The 24,852-nt window shown below is 48.7% G+C and overlaps 1 protein-coding gene and 1 long non-coding RNA gene across 5 annotated transcripts in view, besides 9 other annotated features; one reads left to right on the top strand and one right to left on the bottom strand.

The window, feature by feature from the left end:
- The window catches only part of CAPN2 (calpain 2), a 74,422-nt gene extending 50,308 nt beyond the window's left edge, over positions 1-24,114 (bottom strand). For 2 of the 3 annotated variants that reach the window (NM_001748.5, XM_047431344.1), the window contains exons 1-2: positions 12,834-13,172; positions 7,880-7,949 (exon numbers count right to left, since the gene is read on the bottom strand). In NM_001748.5, the coding sequence (NP_001739.3) occupies positions 7,880-7,949; positions 12,834-13,070 (307 nt within the window). In that variant the 5' untranslated portion in view covers positions 13,071-13,172. Of the gene's footprint in view, positions 1-7,879; positions 7,950-12,833; positions 13,173-23,879 lie in introns of those variants that run through there. The other variant, NM_001146068.2, reaches the window with a different exon arrangement.
- Positions 6,105-6,952: an enhancer, noted in NCBI's record as "OCT4-NANOG-H3K27ac-H3K4me1 hESC enhancer chr1:223906461-223907308 (GRCh37/hg19 assembly coordinates)". NCBI's record gives its function as "activates a minimal SCP1, AML or CMV promoter by ChIP-STARR-seq in naive H9 embryonic stem cells {active_cell/tissue: H9 hESC(naive)}" and the evidence as "EXISTENCE:reporter gene assay evidence [ECO:0000049][PMID:30033119]".
- Positions 7,118-7,287: an enhancer, noted in NCBI's record as "experimental_5382 CRE fragment used in MPRA reporter constructs". NCBI's record gives its function as "activates a minimal promoter by MPRAs in K562 erythroleukemia cells, with activity observed for the introgressed 1:223906211 variant allele {active_cell/tissue: K562}" and the evidence as "EXISTENCE:reporter gene assay evidence [ECO:0000049][PMID:34662402]".
- Positions 12,535-13,486: an enhancer, noted in NCBI's record as "H3K27ac hESC enhancer chr1:223899927-223900878 (GRCh37/hg19 assembly coordinates)". NCBI's record gives its function as "activates a minimal SCP1, AML or CMV promoter by ChIP-STARR-seq in primed H9 embryonic stem cells {active_cell/tissue: H9 hESC(primed)}" and the evidence as "EXISTENCE:reporter gene assay evidence [ECO:0000049][PMID:30033119]".
- Positions 12,706-12,825: a silencer, noted in NCBI's record as "silent region_1843". NCBI's record gives its function as "represses an Ori minimal core promoter by ATAC-STARR-seq in GM12878 lymphoblastoid cells {active_cell/tissue: GM12878}" and the evidence as "EXISTENCE:reporter gene assay evidence [ECO:0000049][PMID:35858748]".
- Positions 13,036-13,425: a silencer, noted in NCBI's record as "silent region_1842". NCBI's record gives its function as "represses an Ori minimal core promoter by ATAC-STARR-seq in GM12878 lymphoblastoid cells {active_cell/tissue: GM12878}" and the evidence as "EXISTENCE:reporter gene assay evidence [ECO:0000049][PMID:35858748]".
- Positions 13,526-13,575: an enhancer, noted in NCBI's record as "active region_2591". NCBI's record gives its function as "activates an Ori minimal core promoter by ATAC-STARR-seq in GM12878 lymphoblastoid cells {active_cell/tissue: GM12878}" and the evidence as "EXISTENCE:reporter gene assay evidence [ECO:0000049][PMID:35858748]".
- Positions 17,353-17,852: an enhancer, noted in NCBI's record as "H3K27ac hESC enhancer chr1:223895561-223896060 (GRCh37/hg19 assembly coordinates)". NCBI's record gives its function as "activates a minimal SCP1, AML or CMV promoter by ChIP-STARR-seq in naive and primed H9 embryonic stem cells {active_cell/tissue: H9 hESC(naive and primed)}" and the evidence as "EXISTENCE:reporter gene assay evidence [ECO:0000049][PMID:30033119]".
- Positions 17,853-19,052: an enhancer, noted in NCBI's record as "MED14-independent group 3 enhancer chr1:223894361-223895560 (GRCh37/hg19 assembly coordinates)". NCBI's record gives its function as "activates an origin of replication core promoter dependent on BRD2, BRD4, P300/CBP and CDK7 cofactors, and independent of MED14, by STARR-seq in HCT116 cells {active_cell/tissue: HCT116}" and the evidence as "EXISTENCE:reporter gene assay evidence [ECO:0000049][PMID:35650434]".
- Positions 18,061-24,852, top strand: part of LOC105373281 (uncharacterized) — a 29,833-nt gene continuing 23,041 nt past the window's right edge. Inside the window, exon 1 of one of the 2 annotated variants that reach the window (XR_949164.2) lies at positions 18,061-18,343. This is a non-coding gene — a long non-coding RNA (uncharacterized LOC105373281). Of the gene's footprint in view, positions 18,344-21,637; positions 21,988-24,852 lie in introns of those variants that run through there. The other variant, XR_949165.2, reaches the window with a different exon arrangement.
- Positions 23,779-24,625: an enhancer, noted in NCBI's record as "H3K27ac-H3K4me1 hESC enhancer chr1:223888788-223889634 (GRCh37/hg19 assembly coordinates)". NCBI's record gives its function as "activates a minimal SCP1, AML or CMV promoter by ChIP-STARR-seq in naive H9 embryonic stem cells {active_cell/tissue: H9 hESC(naive)}" and the evidence as "EXISTENCE:reporter gene assay evidence [ECO:0000049][PMID:30033119]".

Here is a 24,852-nt window from a genome sequence, read left to right as displayed (position 1 = left end):
GGAAACTCCTCTGAGTTTCCGGACCTTCCCCCTGGGACACCACCTCCTCTGTCATACCCCTCTCCAAAACTTAGGTGGCCGCCAATGTCAAGTGCTAAAGCTGGGACCCAGTCGGGTATTCAAGATGTGCCACAATGTGTCTCCACCTCAGCGACGCGACCTCATTTGACAGTACTCCCCTCCAGCTGTACTGTCCCCAAAGAGAACGTGCAATCTGCATGGATTAAACCTTTACTATGTACCAGCCTCTGGAGCTCTGAGCTTTATATGTCTATTATTTCATTTCATCTTTACAGTCCTCTGAGGTAGACACAATTTTTTTTTTTTTGAGATGAAGTCTCGCTCTATTGCCCAGGATGGAGTGCAGTGGTGCGATCATGGCTCACTGCAACCTCCACCTCTCAGGTTCAAGCGATTCTCCTGCCTCAGCCTCCTGAGTAGCTGGGACTACAAGTGCATGCCACCACGCCCGGCTAATTGTTTGTATTTCATATTGTAGTTTTGTAGAGATGGGTTTTCACCGTGTTAGCCAGGATGGTCTTGATAGTAGGCACTATTATTATCTTCATTTCACGGATGAGGAAACTGAGGTGTGAAGAGGATAGTGATCCACTCAAAATGACAGAGCCAGTATGTGGCAGAATAAGAGGCCAGTCCCTAACTGCCAGACACCAAGTCCTCATTCGCTACCCTGATATTTACAGATGTTTATTGATGTAGGTTTAGCTGTTTGTTTTGAGACAAGGTCTCACTCCATCACCCAGGCTAGAATGTCATGGTGCAATCACGACTCACTGCAGCCTTGACCTCCTGGGCTCAAAGTGATCCTCCCACCTCAGCCTCCCAAGTAGCTGGAACTACAGGTGCACACCACCATGCCCAGCTAATTAAAAAAATTTTTTTTTGTGGAAATGGGTTCTCATTATGTTGCTTGGCTGGTCTTGAACTCCTGGGCTGAAGGGACCCTCCCACCTCAGCCTCCCAAAGTGTTGGGATTACAGGCATGGGCCACCATGCCCTGCCTGTTTATTGACGTCTGTGCATTGTTTGGCTCTGATGTGAATACTATCCCGCTTTGGAGAGTAAAGGCTGAGAGGCTGGATTCCAGAGCGCAACAGTCTGCTGCTGTGCAGTGCAGCAGCCACAAGGAACATGTGGCTATTTACATTTAAATTAAATAAAATTACAAATTCAGTTTCTCAGTTGCATGAGTCATATTTCAAGTGCTCCACAGCCACACAGGGCTAGTGCTGCTGTTTGGAGCAGTGCAGATATACACGGTTTCCATCATCACTAGAAGCTCTATGGGACAGGGGTGGTCTAGAAGTGGCCTCACTGCACACCTGCTGGCCAGGCCACCTCCTCCTGGGGCTCAATCATCCAGACAGTGTTGCTAGCCAGGACCCCAACAGACCTCATGGAACCCACGGTCCTTCATTTCTCAAATCCCCAGATGAGTGTCCCTTGGCTGGTCTTCTTGGGGACTGGTGCTGAACAAGGTGGAGATATAATTCCTCACAAACACCAGTCCAGCTAAAGCCAGATGTGTGAGGGTGCAGGGGGCTGTCGAGGAAGGTAACATTCTAAAGTCACAGAATGTCAGAAGTAGTGGGGCATCAGGAAAATCTGTTCCAACCTTCTAATCTCAGAGACAAGATAAGACAACTATGGCCGTATAGGGGCGTGGTCTGGCTCCTGGCCACAGGAAGCTGGTGGAAAATCTAAAGAGGCACCCAAACAGGCAAAGAGTCACCCCTGGATCCAGAGGCCCATGGGGAGCAGGCTGGAGCCCTGGAATCCCACTTTGCACGCCCTGTGGCTTTGCAGGAAAGTATATGGGAAATGGGGGATTCTTGAAGGGGGTCCCACTGCTCCTATTCCTGGAGAGGGGGCAGGGAGAGCTAAGGAGAGATTTGTTCTTCAGGCATCTGATGTAGCTGGAGACCGTGGGTACCATGGCCAAAGCTGAGGCAGCCAGGGTGGGACAGGGGCCTCCAAGCAACACAGCAGTGTTAGCAGTTCACCTGGACCTGTTGATGAGCTGTCTTAGATGCACGAAGGCAAGAGATGTCTCATCTCGTCTCTAAGATCTTAGATCTTAAGTGCAGAGGGAAGGCAGCTGGGAGTGTGGACGGCAGCCACAAGGGAGAAAAGTGCAAGAGCATTTACAACCAGAAGAGAAGCCGAGGGGACATGATGGCCCATGGACAATGTAGCCATGGACAGTGCCCTGGGAGGCTGGTAAGGGGGGTGCTGGGACTGGTGGTGAAGAGATCATTTTTAAGAAAAAGAATGGATTTACTTTCTCCATCAAACCAGCCAACATCTATTTGCTAGTCTTTAAACATTTTAACTACATGGGTACTTATTTATTTACTTTTTGAGATAAGTTTTCCCTCTGTTGCCCAGGCTGGAGTGCAGTGGCTCCAGAACCAGGCTGGAGTGCACGGCTCACAGCAGCTTCTACCTCCTGGGCTCAAGTGATCCTCCTGCTTCAGCCTCCCGAGTAGCTGGGACGACAGGCATGTGCCACCAAGCCCAGGTAATTTTTTTGTAGAGACAGAGTTTTGCTATGTTGCCCAAGCTGGTCCCAAACTCGGGTTCAAGCGATCCTCTTGCCCCAGCCTCCCAAAGTGCTGGGATTACAGGTGTGAGCCACTGCATACTTATTAAAAAGGCACCACAAATTCCAATAGACAGGCATCTTACAAAATCTCTGATCAATATTCCCCAAAACTGTCAAGGTCATCAAAATTAAGGAAAGACTTGAGAGACTGTCACAGCCCAGAGGAGCCGAAGGAGACTTGGCAACTAAATGAAACGTGGGGTCCTGGATGGGATCCCGGAATAGAGAAAGAACCTTAGGGGAAAACTAAGAGAATCTGCATAAAGCATGGACTTTAATAATACTGCATCAATGCTGATTCATTATAACACGTGTACCACACTGATGTAACATGTTAATAATAGGGGAAACTGGGTATGAGGTATCTGGAACTTCCTGTATTATCATCTCAGCTTTTCTATAAACCTAACACTGTTCTTAAAAAAAAGTCTATTAACATTTTTAAAGGTACCTATTATAAAAATGCATTTTTAAATTTATAATTTAAAAATTATTTGCCAGGTGTGGTGACTCGCACCTGTAATCCCAGCACTTGGGAGGATAAGGCAGAAGGATTGCTTGAGCCCAGGAACTTGAGACCAGCCTGGGCAACACAGTGAGACCCCATCTCCACACAGACACACACAAAAATTAGCCAGGTGAGGTGGTGCGTGCCTGTAGTCCTGGCTACTTGGAAGGCTGAGGTGGGAGGATTGCTTGAGCCCAGGAGGTCGAGGCTGCAGTGAGCTATGGTTTTGTTACTGCACTTTAGTCTGGGCAACAGAGCAAGACCCTGTCTCAAAAAAAAAAAAAAAAAAAAAAAAGAAAGAAAGAAAAAGAAAGAAAGGAAAAGAAATAAAAATTATTTAAAACACTTAAATATTCAATTTTTAAAATTGAGGAATGCACATCTGACCCCTTTGTGTTCATTTTCTCCCCATATGTTTCTCCTTCTGAGTTTCAATCTGTGTGTTACCCAAACACAGGCCACAAGTTTGTCTCTCCTCGTTTTGGCATTTCCACCCTTAGATTATGAAATTTTCAAGGACAAGGATCTGGTTTCCAACCCAACTTATTTTCTTCTCCTCCTTTTCTCTTCCTCCACCATCCTCTTTTTCTTCGGCAATTTGGCAAAAGGACTTTTCACATAACTGGAATCAGTAATGATAATCCTGGTCCCTTGAATTTGTCTGGGATTCTATAGTGTGCCAAGTGTGTTTGCCTGTATAAATCTCACTTTTCTCCACAGCCCTGGGAAGGGATCCTTATCATTATTCCCATTTCACAGAAGAAGAAACTGAGGCTCAGAGGGGTTGGGTCCAAATAAGTGGCTAATGAGTGGTAGAAGGAACAGGACTGGAAAATTCCCCATCTGGCTTGCCTTTCCCATTGGTCTTGTCCCTTCCCCACTCTCTGCTGAGCTAGGCTGTGGGGTGGGGCACCCTGTAGCTAAACACCTCCCAGTGGGTGCTCTGGGGGTCCATGTGACATCTTGAGAAGGAGGCAGGTTGACCCACCTCTGAGGGGCCCAGGGAACATTTGCTGGGTTACAATGAAATGGGGGTGTGCTGTTTCAACAGCCTTGGCAGCCTTGGGCTCTACCCCAGGAAATCAGAGGCCTGCAAGGTGACCTATGCCTTCCTGGCTGGGGTAGCTGCCTTCATCCGTGAGCTGTGAGGCTGTGGGGAAAGCTCAGTGGTGACCCAGTGCAAAGTAAAGCATCAGAGGTAGGAGCAGCTCAGCCTTGGAGTTTCCTGGGTCCTTGGGAGCCATTTCAAGTGGCAAGCACCTGTAAGAATGTGGTTATTACCCCACGATTTCAGAGCCATATTTAGCTGCAGGGTCAGCCAGTGGAGGCTCCAGCTGGGTCTCCAGCCCTTCCTCCAGAAGGGCAGATTTTTCTCTGCTGAATCAATTCTTACACAACTATATTCTGCAATGGAGATGGCTCTTGGTGAGAGCAGCTCTGTAAACATGGTTTAAATGACTTTGGTGAAGCTTGGAAGCTGAGCCTTCTGGGAAGGAGCGTGGGTGTTTGTGGATTAAACATTGCTGGGCAGCACAGTAAACAGGGCAGGGCGTTGCAAAGTGCACAAGTCTAAGAATGTCACCTGCCCAAGTTCCCTGGGGGAACTGAGTAAGGCTCAGGGTAGAAAGCGCAGGTAGAGAAGATGAATTTTGCTGAGAATGGTTCCTCAGCACAGCACTATGGCAAATTGGAGGGAGCATGGGTTAGGAAGAGTGTAGGATTCAAAATCAGACCAGGGTTCAATCCTTTGGCAATTACTAGCTGTGTGGCTTTACACTTACTCTCCCGTCTCTGTGGCTCAGTTTTTTTTTATCTGTACAGTGAGGTGAGAATATTTACTTTAGATTTGGGATGAGTACATGAAATACTGTAGTGAAAAAATGCTCTATGAATTGCATACTGTTATGCAGGTGATGGGTACTGTTATTACTCCTTCTGTGTGTAATAAAAGAATGATCTTGGCTGGGCGCAGTGGCTCACGCCTGTAATCCCAGCACTTTGGGAGGCCGAGGTGGGTGGATCACTTGAGCTCAGAAGTTCAAGACCAGCCTGCGCAACATGGCAAGACCCGGTCTATACAAAAAAATACAAAAATTAGCCAGGTGTGGTGGCGTGTGCCTGTAGTCCCAGGTACTCAGAAGGCTGAGGTGGGAGGATCACTCGAGCCCAGGAGGCCAAGGCTGCAGTGAGCCAAGATCCTGCCAGTGCACTCCAGCCCTGGGGAACAGAGTGAGACCCTGTCAAAAAAAAAAAAAAAAAAAGAGAGAAAGAGAGAAAATAAGGATGATCTTGTAGTGCTCTAACCCTCTAGCACAAGGAATGAGGAGTAGCTGGTTAGAAACCCGGGAATGGCTTTAGAATAGCTGAATACAAACTCATAGGGGGTGTCTGAGGTCACTCCATTTACCCTCCTTCCTTCTCCGTTTTTGGAAGAGACGGAGGTTCCAGATGGAAGTTCCAGGTAATTACTTGCCCAGTCTTCGGACTACCAACAGAGCTGAGTCTAGGCTCATATCTCTGGCCATGTCACAGAGTGTCACTGCCATGGCCTCTGTTCCTGGTGCTTGTGAGGCTGTTGGGATTTGGTGAAGGTCAAGGCCCCATCAGCACCCGCTGGCCAGGTGCCAGAATCAGGGTGAGAGTACAGTATACCACATTTCACAGATTGTGATCTAACTAGAGTCCTCCAAAATAAAAGGCTGAAAGAACAAAATGACCAATACTGCATTATACGCGCGCGCGCGCACACACACACACACACACACACACACGCACACACCCCTGAGAAATTACAGACTAGCTACTAAGAAATTTTTAAAAGGTTTACATTTCACCTGGTTTATAATTCCCCTGGGAGGGAAATTTCTCCCAGGAATGTTAACCTTTGCTATCTCCTCTCCAATTGGCCCAGTGGTATTTACACAGGACTTAAATCATGTATTTGTTGCTTACACTTTGGCACTTAAGGTGTTGTTAAACTCTGAAGCAGATGTTAGGCAGTTGCTGTGTTTGTTTCTGGATTCTCTCTCTTTTTTTTTGAGATGGGGTCTCTCTCTGTCACCCCGGCTGAAGTGCAGTGGTGCCATCTCTACTCACTGCAACCTCTGCCTCCTGGGTTCAAGCAATTCTCCTGCCTCAGCCTTCTGAGTAGCTGGGATTACAGGCACCCACCACCACGTCCAGCTAATTTTTTTGTATTTTTAGTAGAGACAGGGTTTGACCATGTTGGCCAGGCTGGTCTCTAACTCCTGACCTCAGGTGATCTGCCTGCCTCGGCCTCCCAAAGTGCTGGGATTACAGATGTGAGCCACTGCGCCGGCTGTTTCTGGATTCTCTAAAGCCCCCGGGGTTGGTCAAAGTTTCCATCAATTCCATTTTCTCTAATGAATAGATTTTCCTGGAGGATCCGCCTTGGGTGCTCAAGGACCTCTATCTTCTGTCTTTTGTGGGGCGAGAAGAAAAGAAATGAAAGGAGTGTTTTCTGCAGGTAAGAATGTGCTCTGGCATCTCAGGAATCTGCAGAGCCTGAGCTCAGACAAACTTTCCCGCCCAGCTCATGTTCTTCCTCACAGTCTGTCTGTCCTAATGATTCACATGATGCTCTGACATTCCTCAGGGCTAGAAAATTTTCCAGGTCCCGTCTTAGGGAGTCTAGCTCAGGAATTAAACATACCCTGGGGTCAGGGGTACCAGCCACCACTTTAGCTGTAGGAAGACCTCTGCATCCTCATCTATAAAATGGGAATAATCACGGTGCCTTAGAGATACATATTAGCTGTTATCAGCTGGTATTAGGAGTATATGAGTAACAGAACCTCTGCTAGGTGGGTGAGGACAGGAGGTACAACTCTAGTTGACTGATTTTGCTACTGATGAACTTGTCTGGGGAGCCAGCCAGCTGAGGCTGATGGCAGAAAATAGATTTTTGGTTTATCAGAGCAAATAATCTGCTCTAGTAATTATAGGCCCACATTTATTATGAGTAAAAGAACATTGAGGGCAGATTCTATGAGAATCTTAGATAACAGCGCCAGGCCCCATTGCTGGGACTTCCTAGAAGCTTTGGGAATTTTCATACTAAAGGTGGAGAACCCTGTGGGTTGAAACCTTCAACAAGGACTATCTCCAGAAACAAATCTGAACTCGGCTCCAGAAAGCAAGGTTTTGGACAATTCAGCTACTCCAGTTCATTTTACTTAAATGAGCGTTACAACTGTGATACCATGGTGAGCTTGTCTTGCAAACACTGAGAATGCCCTGGTACTATAACTTCCTTCAGCAGCGAGCATTAGAGTTTCCTCTTTCTTTACACTGAGTCACCTTCCCTGGTTCCTGAACCTCACAGAACTGATGTCTCAGTGCTGTCATTGGTCTGGGGGAGTCCTCCCACCTAGTCCTCTGCCCAGAGTGTATTTCGTGAACCACTGGTAATGCTGGCTCCAGGAGGTGCATACCAAGGGGTGGCTGACATCCAGAAGCCCCCTGGTCCTCCTAGTGGCAGCATCTCTGTAACCTCAGCAACTAGCCCTGTGCAGGGGACACAGGAGGCCTCATTTGTGTGCCCCAGCATGGGGCTGAGGGTAGAATCATTGCCCGCTAGGGCCAAGAAATTCCATGGAGCTTCTCTGCAAATAGAAATTGCCAAGCTGCTTGGGAAGGGAGAGAAGCCACAGGTTGTCCCTCATCTCTTCCACCCACAGCCTTACAGACAAGATCCCCCAGCTTGCTCTGAATCTATCACTTACCCAGGGCTCCTTGGCAGATGTCTGTGCGGGTGGCTCCTCCAATGATAAACTGGGGGTCAGCGCAGATCTCCTGGGAACGAGACCCACAAAGTGCTGTTAGCCTACCAGCCAGGTGCTTCTGCAGCTAGGATGCCTCCATTCTCAGTGGGGTCTTCTAACCCCTTCTCCCCTTCCCCTCCCCTCTGGGGAAAGTGTGTCATCACAGTCAGAACTCTGTGTCATGAGGTCCTTCTGACCCCTGCTCCCTGGGCCCTGATGGGTGGATGGGTGGTCCTGTCTGAGAAGGGCAGGCATTGGACCCTGCACACTCTGGACTGCCTGGAGCCTCCTTCATTGTGCTGTGTCCCGGGGGCCACAGCAGCAAGTCCAGCCTTTTCTGCCAGACGTGGAGACCATCCACACTCTAGAGCCACCCTATCCACTGGGTTAGCATCCTCTCTCCTCTGTTACTGCATGCAAGTTGTTTTGCTTGCATGAAATTCCTTCCTTTCCCACTCTCTTCCCTCCTTTTCCATATTGCATCATACCTTGAGGCTCATTGTCACCTCCTCCGTGAAGTCGTCCTAGTCCAATCCTCACTCATCCCTTCAAGTCTGAGTCCCAGAGTCTCTGGACTCTGCAATTTACTACTTAGGTATTACTCTGATTTCCTAACACATACCCTTTTGAGGGCAGGCGGGATCTAACCCTTTTGAATTCTTCCATGGGACCATGAAACTTACAGCATCTATATATTCTGTACCTGCTTACATCAGAGACTGTGCTCAAAGCTTTACCTCATGGAATGGGTATTATCCCCCTTTTACAGACGAGGAAACAGCTCAAAAAGGTGAAGTGACGTGTCCAAAGTTAACACAGTTCACAGATAATAGACAGCACTGGCATTGGAACTTACTGATCAAATGCGCCAACTCTTTCTGCTCCTGCCCTGCCTCTAATTGATTTAGTACCAAGCGTTCAAGGGTGTTAAAACCTCAGGGGCCATTGTCATGAGCAGCCTGATGGAAGCCAACCTTGAACACTTCTTAGCCCTTTCAGCAGCCCTCTGAGTGTGTTTCGATTCTGAAGAGCCCCACCCAAAAGCCACAGAGGAAGTTGGGGCACAAATTTGAGCCTCTCTGGGCTCAGGCAACCTTGCCTTGAAGGAGCTGCGTCTCATGTCTGCTTGGGTTGCACACGCCTGCCTCCACCCAACGGCCCTCGGCATGCCCACTCTGTCAAGCAGAAGTATGCCTATATGAGACTTGGATCTAGCCCCTGTTCATTCTAGCTCAGATTGTGGGAGCTCTTCCGGAAGCACCATCTGCCGCAGAGGACATTCCCTTCATGCCTCTGCCTTGTTTCTCTCTGCTCCTGTCAGTTTTGGGGATGGCAGAGAGAATCAGAATGCTCTTCTGCTGAGGCAAAGGAAGCCAGCTTGGCCCAAGGCCTGCCAGAGAGCTCTTATCCAGCTGATGGAATAGATTGGGCTTGGTGCTGGGAGCCTGTTTATTATAAAGAATCACACTGATAATCCTGAGTGTGCCAGGCACTTACTCCAGCAGGGTTTTTCCATTATACTTCAGAAACTTTCTAATGCCTTTAGCAGCCTCTCTAGAAAAGTCAGAGTTCAGAGTGGTGCTAAACACCTAAGCATCTAAGCGATGCTTCAGAAAACTGAAACTTGTGCACGGCATGTAGGGCATCGAATTAAATATGGGTCTTACCAGTCAGTGAAAAGGGGCTGAGGGTTTGGGCTTTGCTGCATTATTCTGATAACCTAGGTTTGAATCCTGGCTCTGCCACTTATTATGTAGGTCGTAGGACCCTGGGAAGTCACTTAACCTTTTGAAGTCTCAGTTTTTTCACCTGCAAAATGGGAACGATGAAAACACCCACCACAGAGGATTGTTCTGAGTGTTAAATGAGATAATGATGTAAACATGCCCTGGCAAGCACTCCATAAATGTGATCTATTATTATTACTGTTGAAGAAGTTGATGATAACAGTCACTGAACTTGGAGACAGGACATATGGGTTTGAGGCTGAGTTCGGCCAGCTGAAGATAAGCAAGTGAGAAACCTCTCAGAGGTTTGATTTTCTTGGGGGAAACATAGGGGCTCACAACATCTGCCCTTGCTCCTAACAGACTGGTTGCTGGAAGGATCTGATGTGCCACCCGGATCACACCTGCTTTCTCCTCACTGTACCCCTGCATGGCCCTTGGACCCCACTGGACTTACTGCTTTAATCCCCGCTCCAGGCACTGGAGCCACTCTTGCCAGTGTTGTGAAATCCTCTCTCCGAGGAAGAGCAGCTCCTCCTGCTGCAAGGCTAACCTGCTCCCCTCCCCTGCCCACAACCCGTATTCTCACTTCCTCAGGGATCCTGTTTCACTGCCCCCTCCCTGCCTTTATCTTTAATCCCTTCTTCCTGGTGATTCAACATATGACACATTCAAGTTGTTCTCATATGAAAAAAACACAGGCTCTCAAAGTCCAGGTCCTACTCTACCTATCAGTTCTCCTCTCTTCCCGGGGGTCCTTCTTAAATAAGTTGATCATGTTCTTAATTTCCAGTTCCTTTACTCTGGAGTCTACAACAATCTGGCTTCTACTCTCACCTTTCCATTGAAATTGCTCTGCTAAACTCACCAATGACTTGCTAGTGTTCAAATCCAGCGGAAACAACTGTGCTCCCCTTGCCTGACCTCAGCAGCATTTGAGAAGGTAGGAAGGAGGCAGAGAGCGCAGCCATAAGGGGTAGGCTCAACATGCACAGACTACACACAGTCCTGGATCTATGCCCTATATCCACTTGACTCTGAGCAAGTATTTAACCTTCCCAAGCCTCAATTTCTTCAACTGGCAAATGGGGATCGTAAAAGTCACACTCTTCCTTAGTTGTGCAGTGCACAGCCCGCCTGCCCTAAGCAGTGGCGCTAGATCATCTCTAGACCTCTACATCCTCATCTGGAAGTCCCACAGGCATTTCCAACTGTTGGGGGACCTGTCTCTGTCCCCTCACTAGCCTCAGAAGTAAGTCTTCAGAAGCAGAAACCATATGCATTGTGCCCAGCATATAGTAGGTATTCGAGAAATGCTTACTGAATGAATGAAAGAATAAGTGAATGAGTATGTGAACTCACTATGTAAACTGTAAAGTGCCATGCAAATGTAAAGTGAACACATTCTCTTGGTTTGTGTTTCACTTTTTTTTTTTTTTTTTTTACTTTTTTATAGAGACAAGTCTTACTGTGTTGCCCAGGCTGGTCTTGAACTCCTGGCTCAAGCGATCCTCCCACCTTGGCCTCCCATAGTGCTGGGATTACAGGTGTGAGGCACTGAGTCAGGTCAGCGTATCACTTTCACAACCATAATTTCATTTGAGGCACATTACAATCCTGCATCCATATTCTACAAACAGTCACTTCTTTTGTGTTCACTGGTGTATCTCCTGAGCTCTCAGGACAGTGCCTGGCATGTAACAGGTGCTCAATCAGTGTTGTCAAATGAGTGAGTAAATGAATGAATGAATGAATGAATGAATACTGTGAAAGGCATGGTTATGTGTCAGGCACTGGGGATATACTGGTAAATAATATACACATGATTCCTGCAGTTCAGTAGGAAGAACAAATACATGTGATTATATTCTAAACTGTGACAATGCTATGAAGGAAATGAGTGGGGTGACAGAGAAAAACAAGGTGGGGAGGTGGCTGCTAAGAAGGGTCAGAAAAGACCTCTTTAGGAAGGGAACATGTGACTAAGTTGGGAAGAATGAGAGTGAGCCACACTCCAGGTAACAGCGTGCCTTGCTGGTGAGAAGGCCTCATGCAGGAAAGAACCGGCTCTTTGAGAGACTGAAAGGAGGCCATGACGGCAGGGCCTAGTGGGCCACAAAAGAGAGAAAATATTTAGGCAGCATGTTTTCTTTTAGATGAAGACATGGAGGCACAGAGAGGTTAAATGGCTCGTTCAAGGTCACCAGCAGGTTAGCAAGAAGAAGAACCCAAGTGCTCTGAGTCTGGGCTAGGGCGCTTCCTGCAGCCCTTGCTACCTATGGGCTGGATTTAGGGTAACAGAAGGTGACCTGGGAGGCTGCTGGGTGTGGAAGCAGAGCTGGAAGCCTTGTTCTCACAACAGGAATCTAGAAGTTGGACTTCAGGGCAGGCTTTCCTAGGCGTGGTAGGGGAAGCCTGGGGAAGTGTCCCAAAGGAGGAGGAGCCTCAGGGGTTCCCCAAGAAACAGAATGGACAAGTAGATTGGGGAGCACAAGTTGTCCCAGGGCCGGGAGGTCAGAGACCCTGGGGGACGGGATAAGGGGGTCTGGAGGGCTCCCGGAGGTTTCCCGGGTGATTCCCGCCAGGGAAACCATGAGACACCTCCGTGTCCTGGGTTAATTACCAGTGTCAATGTTATGAGGAGGTATCGCTGGCTCCCCTTTGGAAAAATAAATCTAACCCCAGGGCTGCAGGAGACTATCCTTAGTCACAAAATGACCAGGCTATGGCCTGTCCCCCTCCATGAACAGACAGAACCCCAGTTGGAGACGGACTTTGTCTGGTAGATGCTGCCTCTCACCGTCCCTTCCCTGCAGACCCGATTCCCCTTCCCTTCCAGCTCCCCGCTAGAGTCCAATCAAAGTTTCACCCCGGCCTCCTGCATCACCCTGAGTTTTTGTGAAGTCCTAAAGTGGCCTGCTAGTGGGATCTGAGGGCAGTGATTCGCCTCGACCCGCCCAGGAAAGCGTGGTGGGTGGAAGAGAGGGAAGGCCCCGGGAGTCCCCCCACGCTCGAACAGAGTCCCGGGCTCTGGCGGCGCGGAGGTGTCGCAGGACTGCGAGGTCCTGGCTTGCGGCTTCCCCACTGCAGCACCCGGGCTGCCCCCCGCCCCAGCGCGCCGCGGGCCGGCCTGCACCCCGCCCTGCCCGGCACCCCGCCCTGCCCGCGTCCTGCCGCGCGCTTCCTACCGTGGGGCGCTTCCACTCGATGCCCCGGGTTTTGCTGGAGTAGGGCCCCAACTCCTTGAAGCCCAGGGCCGAGGGGATGGCCGGGAAGGACGGGTCCTGGAAGAGCGTCCCGGCCTCCAGGCACTCGTTCCGCAGCGCCTCGTAGTCCTGGTTGAGGTACTTGATGGCCCTGTCGTGGGAGCCCAGCCCCTCGGCCGCCTCCCGGTCCTTCGCCAGCTTGGCCGCGATGCCCGCCATGCTGCGGTCCCGGCGGCCGTACTGCGCAGAGAAAGGTCGGGGCGACTCCGCGCTGCGCTCGGCTGGGGCGCGGCCAGGGCCCGGCGCGCTGCTGCGGCCACTGCGGGCGCCGCCGCTGCGAGCGATGATTCACCGGAGGGAAGCGGCCCGGCCCGCGGGGTGTGGCCTCAGCCGCTCCCGGCCTGCTGGGCTCCCGGCCCGGGACCAGGCCATCCTGCGGCCTGCCGAGCGCCGGGAACGCCGCGACCCGGGGCCGGTGCTGCCATCTGCGGACAGCTCCCGGGATGGCGCGGCCCGGCGCCGGGGAGGCTCGCGAATCGCGGTCCAGAGTTGGGGCTCCCACCGGAACCCGAGGCCACCTTTGCAGCCCATAGGGAAGAAGGCTAGGATAGTTGTGGCCGTCCGGAAAACACCCGGGGAGTTAGCAGAGGGTCAGGTAGTGAAGTCGAGGAAACTAAACCAGCTGCCCTGAACTTTGTGCCAAACAGCGTCTTAACGGCTCTGCATACATCATCTCATTTAATCCTCCCAGCGACTCTGAAGAAGGCGCTGATATTGTCCCCATTTTACAGATGAGAAAACTGAGCCTCGGAGACGCTAAATGACGTCCCCAATGTGGCACAACAGTCACAGGCAGAACAGGGACTCTAAGCCACCGGAGGCCTATTGCAATCACAATGCTGCAATTACTACTGCTCAGCTGTTTATTTGATTATAGATAGGGTTGTCAGATTTGGCCAATAAGGCTGGGTGCGGTAGTTCACACCTGTAATCCCAACACTTTGGGAGGCCGGAGGCAGGCGGATCACCTGGGGTCAGGAGTTCGAGACCAGCCTGGTCAACATGGTGAAATTCCGTCTCTACTAAAAATACGTCGTGGCAGGCACCTGTGATCTCAGTTACTCGGGAGGCTGAGACAGGAGAAACGCTTGAACCCAGGAGGGAGAAGTTGCAGTGAGACGAGATCGCGCCACTGCGCTCCAGCCTGGGTGACAAAGCGAAACTCCATATCAAAAATAAAATAAAATAAAATGATTTGGCCAATAAAACAACAACCCTCCCAAATGTTTAATTTGAATTTCAGATAAACAACAGATACTTTTAAAGTATATGTAGGGCCCAAATATTGCATGGGCATACATACTTATTCTAAAAGAAAATATGATTCATTGTTTACCTGAAACTCATATTTAACTGGCAGGATTAGTTGGGTTACTATAGGGAGAGAGCATTTAGAATACTGCCTGTGTTGGCTACTGTGACCACTCTGTTGTGGAGCTAGGGTGTGATTCTCATCTCACACACAGAGACATGGGTGCGTGCCAAGAAATGCAGATGGGCAGAAATTACCTCCTCTTCTTCTCTACAGTAGTAGGGAAGAATTTGGGTTTCACTGGAAAACTGTGCATGGTCTACAGCAGTGGTTCTCAACTGGGGGCAGTTTTGTCCCCTACCCACCCCAGGAGACATTTGGGAATGTCTGGAGATAGTTTTTATGGTCACAGCTAGGAGATGAGGTGCTACTGGCCTTTACTAAGTAGAAGCCAGGGATGCCGCTGAACATCTTCCAATGTCCAAGATAGCTCTTGTGAACCCAGAAAATCTGAAACAGGTCTCATTTAATTTAGAAAGTTTCTTTTGCCATGGTTGAAGATGCACACCTGTGACACAGGAAGTCCTGAGGACATGTGCCCGAGGTGGTTGGGGTGCAGCTTGGTTTTATACATGTTAGGGAGGCAAGAGCCATCAGTCAAGTACATTTAAGAAATACATTGGTTTGGTTCAGAAAGGCGGGACAACTCAAAGTGGCGGGGGGTGGTGGGTGGGTAGTGGGGGTGGCTTCCAGGATATAGGTAAATATTTAAACATTTTCTGGTTGACAATTGGTTGAGTTTGTCTAAAGGCCCAGGATCAATAGAAAGGAATGTTTGGGTTGCGATAAGAGGTTGTGGAGACAAAAGTTTTATCACATAGATGAAGCTTTTAGCTAGCAGGCTTCAGAGTGAACAGGCAGTAAAATGTTTCTTATCAGACCTAAACTCTGGTTGATGTTCACGCTGGAGAGGTATAATGAAGCATGTCCGACCTTGCCTTTCCTTCATGGCCTGAAAATTTCAGGTTAAAATTTTAAGAGCCTCGGCTAAGGAGGAACCATCCATTTAGATGGTTGGCGGGGGTAGGGGAGGGGGAGGCTTAGAATTTTATTTTTGGTTTACATTCTCCACCCAAAACATGATCTAGTCCAAGACATCAGTCATGTAGAGGCTGAGAAACCCTGGTTTAGAGCATCTCCTTCCAGAAGATCTGGGTCTAGCCTTTCATTGTTTTTGTTGTTGTTGTTGTTGTTTTTGTTTTTCTTGAGATGTAGCACCCTGTCACCCAGGCTGGAGTGCAGTGACAGGATCTTGACGATCTCAGCTAACTGCATCTTCTGCCTCCCGGGTTCCAGCGATTCTCCTGCCTCAGCCTCCAACGTAGCTGGGATTACAGGTGCACACCACCACATCTGGCTAATTTTCTATATTTTTTGTAGAGATGGGGTTTCACCGTGTTGGCCAGGCTGGTCTCGAATTCCTGACCTCAGGTGATCCGCCTGCCTCAGCTTCCCAAAGTGTTGGGATTACAGGTGTGAGCCACCACACGAGCCCCTTTCATTGTTTTTGAGTTATTTTATAACTCTAAGTTGTATATAACTGTAGCAATGTATAGTTACCTAAGTAACTCTAAGTAAGTAATCTAAGTTGTAGATAACTGTAGCAATGGAAAATAATTTTTCCTATAGATATGCAAATGCATTCTGTCCAGTAGAGGCACTACAGTCCCCCTGTAGAGAGACCAGTTTTTTGTCTAGTTGCATATTCCATTTCAGTACTCTTCACGTCATGTAAATTGTGCTGCTTTGGTTTCTCCTTTGAACCAGTTATAACATCCACCAGATTGCCTCGTTTAATCAAGTTAAATGGACTCTTTTTTTTTTTTGAGATGGAGTTTCACTCTTGTTGGCCCAGGCTGGAGTGCAATGGCACAATTTCGGCTCACCACAACCTCCACCTCCCAGGTTCAAGTGATTCTCCTATCTCAGCCTCCCGAGTAGTTGGGATTACAGGTGCCTGCCACCATGCCTGGCTAATTTTGTATTTTTAGTAGGGACAGGGTTTCTCCACGTTGGCTAGGCTGGTCTCGAACTCCTGACCTCAGGTGATCTGCCCACCTCTGCCTCCCAAAGTGCTGGGATTACAGGTGTGAGCCACTGCACCCTGCCGAAATGGAATCTTTAAAATGTGTTTATTTTATACTAATATGAGAGCCATGATGTTACCTTTTCTTAAAGCAAGTATTTTTGTCACTATTATTCCTCTGCCCCCATCTATTCTTGTCTCTGACACCCATTGCTTACCCCCTTTGCTTGACAAAACTTTGGTCAGACTTCTCTCTTTCCTACAGATCCCTGAATGCTGCTTGCCCCCAAGCCTGAACAAGCACAAACAAAGTGGAGTGTCCCTGCCAAGTCACTTCCCTGCCCAGCTTCTCCTGGGAATTGACTGAACACAGCAAGACCCTTTTCCTGTCAGCTCCCACTGGTCATTTCCCCTCACTTGTCCAGCTTCCCCTCCCAAGAGTCTGCTTATCTCCACTTGCTCCTCCTTTACCCTAGAAAAGAAGAATCTTTTTCTGTTTGATTTTGAGCTGCTTGCAGATTCTCTGAATTGGAATTGTCTTTCTCTCTTTTTTTTTCTTTTCTCTTCTCTTTTCTTTCTTTTCCTTCCTTCCTTCTCTTTTTCTCTATTTTTTCTTTCTTTCTCCCTCCCTTCTTCCCTTCCTCTCCTTCTCTCCTTCTCTCTTTCTCTCTCTCTCTCTCTTTCGCTCTTTCTTTCTTGTTTCACTCTTGTTGCCCAGGCTGGAGTGCAGTGGTGCAATCTCCACTCACTGCAACCTTCGCCTCCCGGGTGCAAGTGATTCTCCTGCCTCAGCCTCCTGAGTAGCTGGGATTACAGGTACCAGCCGCCATGTGCAGCTAATTTTTTTGTATTTTTAGTAGAGACGGGGTTTCCTCATGTTGGCCAGGCTGGTCTTGAACTCCTGACCTCAGGTGATCCACCTGCTTTGGCCTCCCAAAGTGCTAGGATTACAGGTGTGAGCCACTGCGCCTGGCCTGCAATAGTCTTTCTTTCTATTGAAGTGTCCCTTTATAAAAGTCTGGATTTTTTTTTTTTTTTAAACAGAGTTTCACTCTTGTTGCCCGGGCTGGAGTGCAATGGCGCGATCTTGGCTCATTGCAACCTCCGCCTCCCGGTTCAAGTGATTCTCCTGCCTCAGTCTCCCATGGTTTTGTTTTTATTTGACATCCTCCATCTCTGGTTTGCAAGTCTGGGCATGCTGCCTGATGGGCAGGTACCACCGTCCACCACCAGGCTTTGCTTTCTTTACTCTTGAATAAGGCGGGGACACAGGTTCCATTGTGTAATGGTTGGCACTCTGGACTCTGAGTCCAGAGATGGGGATACAGGCATTCATTTCTAGCTCATGGGTTTCTGGTGCAAGGGTTTCATGAAGCCATCACAATTGAAAACAGAGGAAAGCGACAGCCCTGTCCTGGAAGCTGTTCATTTGTTCCACTGTCTGATTTCCATTGGCCCCACCCCGACTTCTTCTGGGCTCGAGGCTCTTGGGAGAAAGCTTGTCCTTCTGCCCAGTGGGGCAGAGCGCAGGCTTCTCCTCCCACTGATCTCCTCAAGGACAGCTCATCTCTGGAGGAAGTGACTCCTCCCAGGCAGGTGGAGGTCATTTCCCTCCTAAGTCATTTTAGCAACAAATGGGCAGATCAGACCTATCATTCCAGTCAACTCAGAAGCTTTGCACAGCCTGGGAGCAGAAGAGCCTCCTGGCTCACCTGAAGTTCCTCTTCCCCAGCTAGGCAACACCCTCTTTGGTGCAGCCCTGGCCACTCCCCTTGCCAGCCTTCTAGGGATCGCTGCGCACATAGAGCTCTGCTTACAAAGGGCTTTAGGCTGTCCTATGCCACCCAAATTTAATTGCAAACACATACAATGACTACTTTCCCCAACCATTTGGACAAAGTCTAGTTTTTAAACCTGAGTTAATGTTGCTTTTTCTACTTCCCAAAGCCTCTCACACTATGCTATCTCACTGACCCAGCAAAGTCTTCTCTTTCTCTGACCACACAATCCTTTTCACGGGAACACAAGGACATAGACAAACACTTCATGGTGGAAAACCTTCCTGGAGTGAGTCAGCCAGCCCTGAGGATGGTGGTGAGTCAGAAACAGCTGGGATTATCCAGAACTGCCTGGGTCTGGGCCACTGACCTTGTGAGTAAATGAGAGAGGGAGTGAGAGAGAGAGATAGAAAGAGAGAGAGAGAGAAGAAGAGAGAGAGAGAGAGAAAATAAGAGAATAAGAATGTGTGTGTCTCAGAGGGCCATGGCAATGGAATCTTTTTCAGTAGTATTTTTCTTTAGATTATTTTCTCCCTGGCCCTGGATGTTTGAGATGCATCAGAGGCACAATCTGCAGGTTCTGGATTTTTTTTTTTTTTTTTTTGAGGTGGAGTCTCACTCTGTCACCCAGGCTGGAGTGCAGTGGCGTGATCTCGGCTCACTGCAACCTCCGCCTCCCGGGTTCAAGCAATTCTCCTGCCTCAGCCTCTTGAGTAGCTGGGATTACAGGGGCTCACTGCCATGCCCAGCTAATTTTTGTATTTTTAATAGAGACGGGGTTTCGCCATGTTGTCCAGGCTGGTCTTGAACTCCTGACCTCAGGTGATCCACCCATCTCGGCCTCCCAAAGCGCTGAGATTACAGATGTGAGCCACCGTGCCTAGCCAGGTTCTGGAGATACTAACCAAAGCTTCCTTTTTAATTTTGCACCTCCACGTGTCAGTCTCAGTTTTTATTTGACATATTTGTGCACTTTACACATATTTGTGCACTTAATCTTCACAGCCAGTCAAGGGAGATCTTATCTCCTCATTTAATGGATGAGTAAACAGAGGCCCAGCAGAGCAGCTGACATGTTGTGTTGTAGAGCCAGCCTGGCTGCCAACACCTAGACCATGGTCCCTTGGGGTCTGTCCATACCCAGTGTAGGAGGGCAGAGGGAACGGCAGGCCCAGGCAGAGGAAAAGAACCTGTTTTCTTCCCCTCCCTCTTTCAGGTCCGTGATTTGAATCCAAAGGAGATCACAGAGAATATGAATTCCACAGGGCTGCAAAAAACGGTTTCATTTGAAAAGAGATTTCTTTCTCTTCTGAAGCAGCTGCAGGGTTTATTCTTTCCTCATAGCTGTAGCATGAGTATTGGACAGGCCTGTTAGATGCCACTCAGGAGGGAGGGGGCTTCTGGAGGGATTCCAAGAGCTGAAGAGGCATGGAAAGGCTTCTCCCTGGTGTTGCAAAAGATGGGACGTGCTGACAGTAGAAGGAGAGAGGGAAACTCCGGAAAGAAATCCAGCAGCCCAGACAGTTTTCTAAGCCCCTTCTCTTTCCCCAGTCTGTTGGAGCTTAGGGTATTACATCCCACCCTTGCCAGGAGGCAAGAGCCGAAGCTGCTGCCCCTCACCCACCAGTGCTATCTCCCAGAGAGGTTTTCATAGCTGGGGTCCCCTAGTAGTAATTTTACTAATAATACATGTAGTCTTATAAGTGTGGGGTCTGGCAATTTTCAAAATACTAACTATCCATTCTCCCATCTCTTAAAATGGGGAAATAATACCTACTTTGCATAGTTCACACGGTTGTTATAAGCATCAAATCACAGTGTATGTGAAATTATTTGGGGAACTATAAAACCTTAGATGCTATCATTGTTATCATCAGCAGCAATGGCCCCTTTCTTCTACAGGCACATGAGTACTTGACATGTGGCAGCAAATCCTGTTTTCACGCTTCCTGTTGTAGGGAACAAATATAGAGCAGCATGCTTTTCTCCACTCCATGGGAAGTGATCACCTCAGATGTCAGCACCACAGGGTGCTGGGAGAGGAGTTGGCCCCGTCCATAATTCCCATCAGCAAGCTCCCCAATAAATATGTCTCTAAGCCAGAACAGGGAGCTTACTAAGCAGAAACAGCTACAAGACAAGCCTCCAATCCCCTGCCCCAAATGCCATCTACCATCCACATTTTATTTTTTTCATCCCTAAGTCCCTCCCACATCGAAATTCTAGAACTGCCCAGATATATGCTCAAGTTCACCTGGTAAGAAAGCCAAAGTAGCACTCTGCCACTCAGTCTTCCGAGGATGTAGTCATGGTGGTCAGTATGTCATTTCCCCAACACATCTCTGGGGCAGAAACCAGTTTCCCCTGTACAGTTCAGTGGTGGTTCTCTATGTGCAAGAATCACCAGTGCTTGTCTAAATTGTGATTTAGGTAACCATAGGAGACATTTGGCTCTGTCTTGCCTCTTTGTTTTGTTACTTTGCCCCGTTCCATTTCTTTTCTCAGCCAGTCCAAGGATAGGCTTGTTAACAGGGAGTGATATTGAAAGTATTCCAAACCACTGTAGTGCCGACACTGGCTTGCTGAAAGGGAAGTTGGTGTTGGCCGAGGGGCAGGAAGCCTCCCCTGAGTGAGCTATTAATCCTTTAGTGGATGAACTGGGGGAGTATGGGAGTTGCCAGGAAGGGGCTGGTGGGCCAGGGTGCTGGAACAGGGAGCGGCAGGAGGGGGCTGGGGGCAGCCAACTACCCATCCTGCTGTGACATATGACAGTCACCCAACTCCATCACCTACTCACGTTGGGGCTCCACATTTCCCCTGCCTCGGTTACATTTGTTTAATGACAGTCTAGATGTGTTTCTGTGTTTTCCCCTCAATTCAGTGTTGTATTTCTCCTGGGATCAGCAACTATTTTTTTGTTGATATCCTTGACCACCTCCCTCCTTCCAGGCACAGGGCTGAGCCCAGTGACATCTCATTATTGCTGTGGCCCACCTTATTGCAGGGCCGACATTTCAGATACCCTTCTCATTTCCCTTCCCTCAGCTATGGCTCCCTTTGGTTTTCCATCCTTGTGTCACACGGACCGTGACTCAGTGGCAAACTAAGACCTCAACTGTGGGTCTGAGACAAGTGTCTTGGTCTTCCTAGACCTCAATTTCTCCATCTGTAGAATAGGGAAAACGTTGCTGACAAAGAAATTCTCAGATGGGAGGAGACTTACAAATATAGCTCGAGTTGCTAATGCAATTCAAATGAGCCTTTGGACTTCCCTTCTGTAGAATAAGGCCCTAGGCGACTGAGGCGTTTCACACTTTGAGATTCATATGAAAGAATCTCAGGGTTGGATGGAACTTTAGGGGTCTTCAGTTCAATGTTTTTTGGTGTTGTTTTGAGATAGAGTCTTGCTCTGTTGCCCAGGCTGGAGTGCAGTGGCGTGATCTCGACTCACCGCGACCTCTACCCACTGGATTCAAGTGATTCTTGTGTCTTAGCCTCCTGAGTAGCTGGGATTACAGGCATGCGCCACCATGCCCTGCTAATTTTTGTATTTTTAGTAGAGACGGGGTTTCACCATGTTGGCCGGGCTGGTCTCCAACTCCTGACCTCAAGTGATCTGCCTGCCCTGGCCTCACAAAGTGCTCGGATTACAGGTGTGAGCCACCACGGCTGGCCTAGTTCAATGTTAAACAAACTTTACTCAGCAAAACATGTTTCATGAGATGTTCATGAGAGGGTCTGTGGCATGTGTGGATGTGAGTGTGTGGTTTTTAGTGATCAAATGAATTTGGGAAATGCTTTATACTTTTCCCTCTTGATGAGTTATAATGTGTATATTTTAATATTAAAGGCTCTGACAAGTCCTGTAGCAGAGAATTCTGTTTAACCAAGTGTGTCAACTTGAGTCCTCTGGGAAGCAAATGCCAAAACGAAGTTAGACATGCAAGAGACTTATTGGGGGTAAGTCCTGTGTAACTGGAGGGGAGAGAGAACAGGAGTAGTCCAGAAAAGCCTTCAGCCCATAACATAAGCCTTACACCTATGAAAAGAGATGGGGAAGGAAAGGCGGTGTGGTAGGAGGATCCATAGACTGCAGTGCCACTCTGAGAAAGCCTTGGCCAACCCAGTGGGGATTCTGGGGCAAAGCTGGGCCAATAGAAGTCTGCATTGGGCAGAAATGGCCAGCCCAGTACCTCTACTGTGTTGTCATTGGCTGGAGCAGCCTGGAGAGAACACATCCTCATCTCAGGTGCTTTGCAAATGGCCAGGCACGGCACAATGGGAGGCAGAGGTGAGAGGACTACTTGAGCCCAGGGGTTTGAGACCAGCCTGCACAACATAGAGAGACCCCCATCTAAAAAAAAAAAAAATCAAATGCTTTGCACATATTTACTCATTTAATCCTCAGAATAGCCCTATAAGATAGGTCTTGTCATTGTTTCCATGTTTACAGATGAGAAAACTGAGACACCAAGATACTCAATGAGTCACCCAGGGTTATACAGTCAGTGGGTAGTGGAGTTGGCATTTGAATGCAAAACTGCTTTTGGGAACCTCTGTCCTAGACAGGGGCAATGTGGTTTGCAGAGCAAATGGGGGAGAAAATGAACATTCTAAGCCTTACTTGTCAGCACCCTGCGAAGTGCAGTGGTCACAGTCCCCAATGACTTCCTTGATTCGAAATCCAGGGAAACCTTCTCAGTTCTTACTCTCTGTGTCCAGCAGCTGCCACTGCCACTGTTGCCATTCCCTTACTTTCTTCCCTCTGCTTCCATGGACCCCTCCTTCTCCTGGTTTTTCTTCCACCTTCCTGGCTGTTCTTTCTCAATCTCCTTCACCAGCTCCTTCCTCTCCTTCCTCTTCTTGTACCTTTGTGGATTTTTTTGCCTCAAAATCTACCTAGGTCAATAACTCCTATGCTTCTAATTTCCAGTCACAGGGGCCACTTGGAAATGTAGCAGTGCTTGGGGGAATATCACCAGGACACTTCCACTGGCCGGGCTGCTTCTCTCTCTGGGAGGTGGGTTATGTCCTATCCTCCCCGTTTTGCTCTCTTCTTGATGTATATACAGAGGAGACTTTTCTATGGACTTAGAGATAGTAATTTTTTAGCATATTAATTTCGGTTTTCAGGGACAGCTAGTGGAAGTTTGATGGTGTCCAAATAATTCTCCATATAATGTAGTTTATTTTCCTTCCTTTGTTTCTTCCCATCTTTTTCTTTCTTTTCCTTTCCTTTTCTTTTTTTTTGTTTTTTTAGACAGGGTCTCACTCTGTCAACCAGGCTGGAGTGCAGTGGTGCGATCTCAGCTTACCGCAACCTCTACCTTCCAGGCTCAAGCAATTCTCCTGCCTTAGCCTCCCTAGTAGCTGGGATTACAGGTGTGCACCATTACGGCCCAGCTAATTTTTGTATTTTTAGTAGAGACAGGGTTTTACCATGTTAGCCAGGCTGGTCTTGAACTCCTGACCTCAAATCATCCACCCACCTCGGCCTCCCAAAGTGCTGGGATTACAGGCGTGAGCCACGGCGCCCAGCCTCCTTCTTTCCTTCCTTCCTTCCTTCCTTCCTTCCTTCTTTCCTTCTTTCCTCCCTCCCTCCCTCCCTCCCTCCCTCCCTTCCTTCCTTCCTTCTTCCCTCCCTCCCTCCCTTCCTTCCCTCTCTTTTTTTTTTTTTTTTTTTGAGACGGAGTCTGTTGCCCAGAATGGAGTGCAGTGACACGATCTCAGCTCACTGCAACCTCCACCTCCTGGGTTCAAGTGATTCTCCTGTCTCTACCTCCTGAGTAGCTGGGATTACAGGTGTGCACCACCACACCTGGCTAATTTTTGTATTTTTAGTATTGACTCACCATGTTGGCCAGGCTGGTCTTGAACTCCTGACCTCAGGTGATCTGTCTGCCTCGGCCTCCCAAAGTGTTGGGATTACAGGCGTGAACCACTGCACCTGGCCTTCTTTCTTTCTTTAAAAATATTTTTTTCTTTGCTTTTTTTTTGTTTTCTCCACATAGTCGAACATCCTGGAAATTCGTTCCTTTGCGTTAGTCTCTGAGGATGGGCCAGTTAGCTACAGAGCCATCAGAGTCTGAGTGTCTGGCACCTGAGCTCCTCCTTGGCCCACAGAAAGGCTCTGCCCACCAGCTCCCCAGAGAGAATATGGAAATGCTGCCTGGGACCAAATAAGGGAATATAATGAAAGGGGCCTCAGGGCTGAGGCTGTGTTTGAGTCACATTTTAGCAAAGCGGCCACATAGCTTCTGACTCAGAGCACAAAGATTCTTCAATTCTTCATGGCAAGAATGAGACTCACAAGAGCATAAGCTCAGAGGTGGAAAGGAGGGCAGAGCTGTCTCCTCCTGTCCAGTCTAACCAAGGCAGCTAAGAAGCTGAGGCCAGAGAAGGGAGGGTCCCGCAGCCCTAGAGAGGGCCGGAGCCAGCTGGGGCTTCCAGACTCTCGGGAGAGGTCCCATCCTGCTGCCCGCTCTGCAGGCTCTGCTCAGTCTGCTTGGATGCTGCGTGTGTCGGGAGGCCCTGTCACCCTGCCCCTGACCCGGCTATGCTGGGGAGACCTCAGCTTTCTGACTCATACTCAGAAGGGAGTGTCTTAGAGGAATTTCTTTCCACTCAAGCAGTCTATGGACTGATCAAAAGTGCAAGTCATGTCAAGACATAAGTGCTCTCTAACATGTATTCTGCAATGTGGACTTGAATATAAACTGAAAAGCACAATAGTGAATAATTAGAGCTGTCATCTTGGCACGTTTTATGTAACTTCTGTGAGAGCGCGTATCACCTGGTGATACAAATATTTAGTGTCCATTTCCC

The sequence above is a fragment of the Homo sapiens genome, chromosome 1 (genome assembly GCF_000001405.40).
Source record: "Homo sapiens chromosome 1, GRCh38.p14 Primary Assembly".
NCBI lineage: Eukaryota > Metazoa > Chordata > Mammalia > Primates > Hominidae > Homo > Homo sapiens.
The sequence above is the reverse complement of the archived record's forward strand: the minus strand, read 5'-3'. Positions and strand labels throughout refer to the sequence as shown.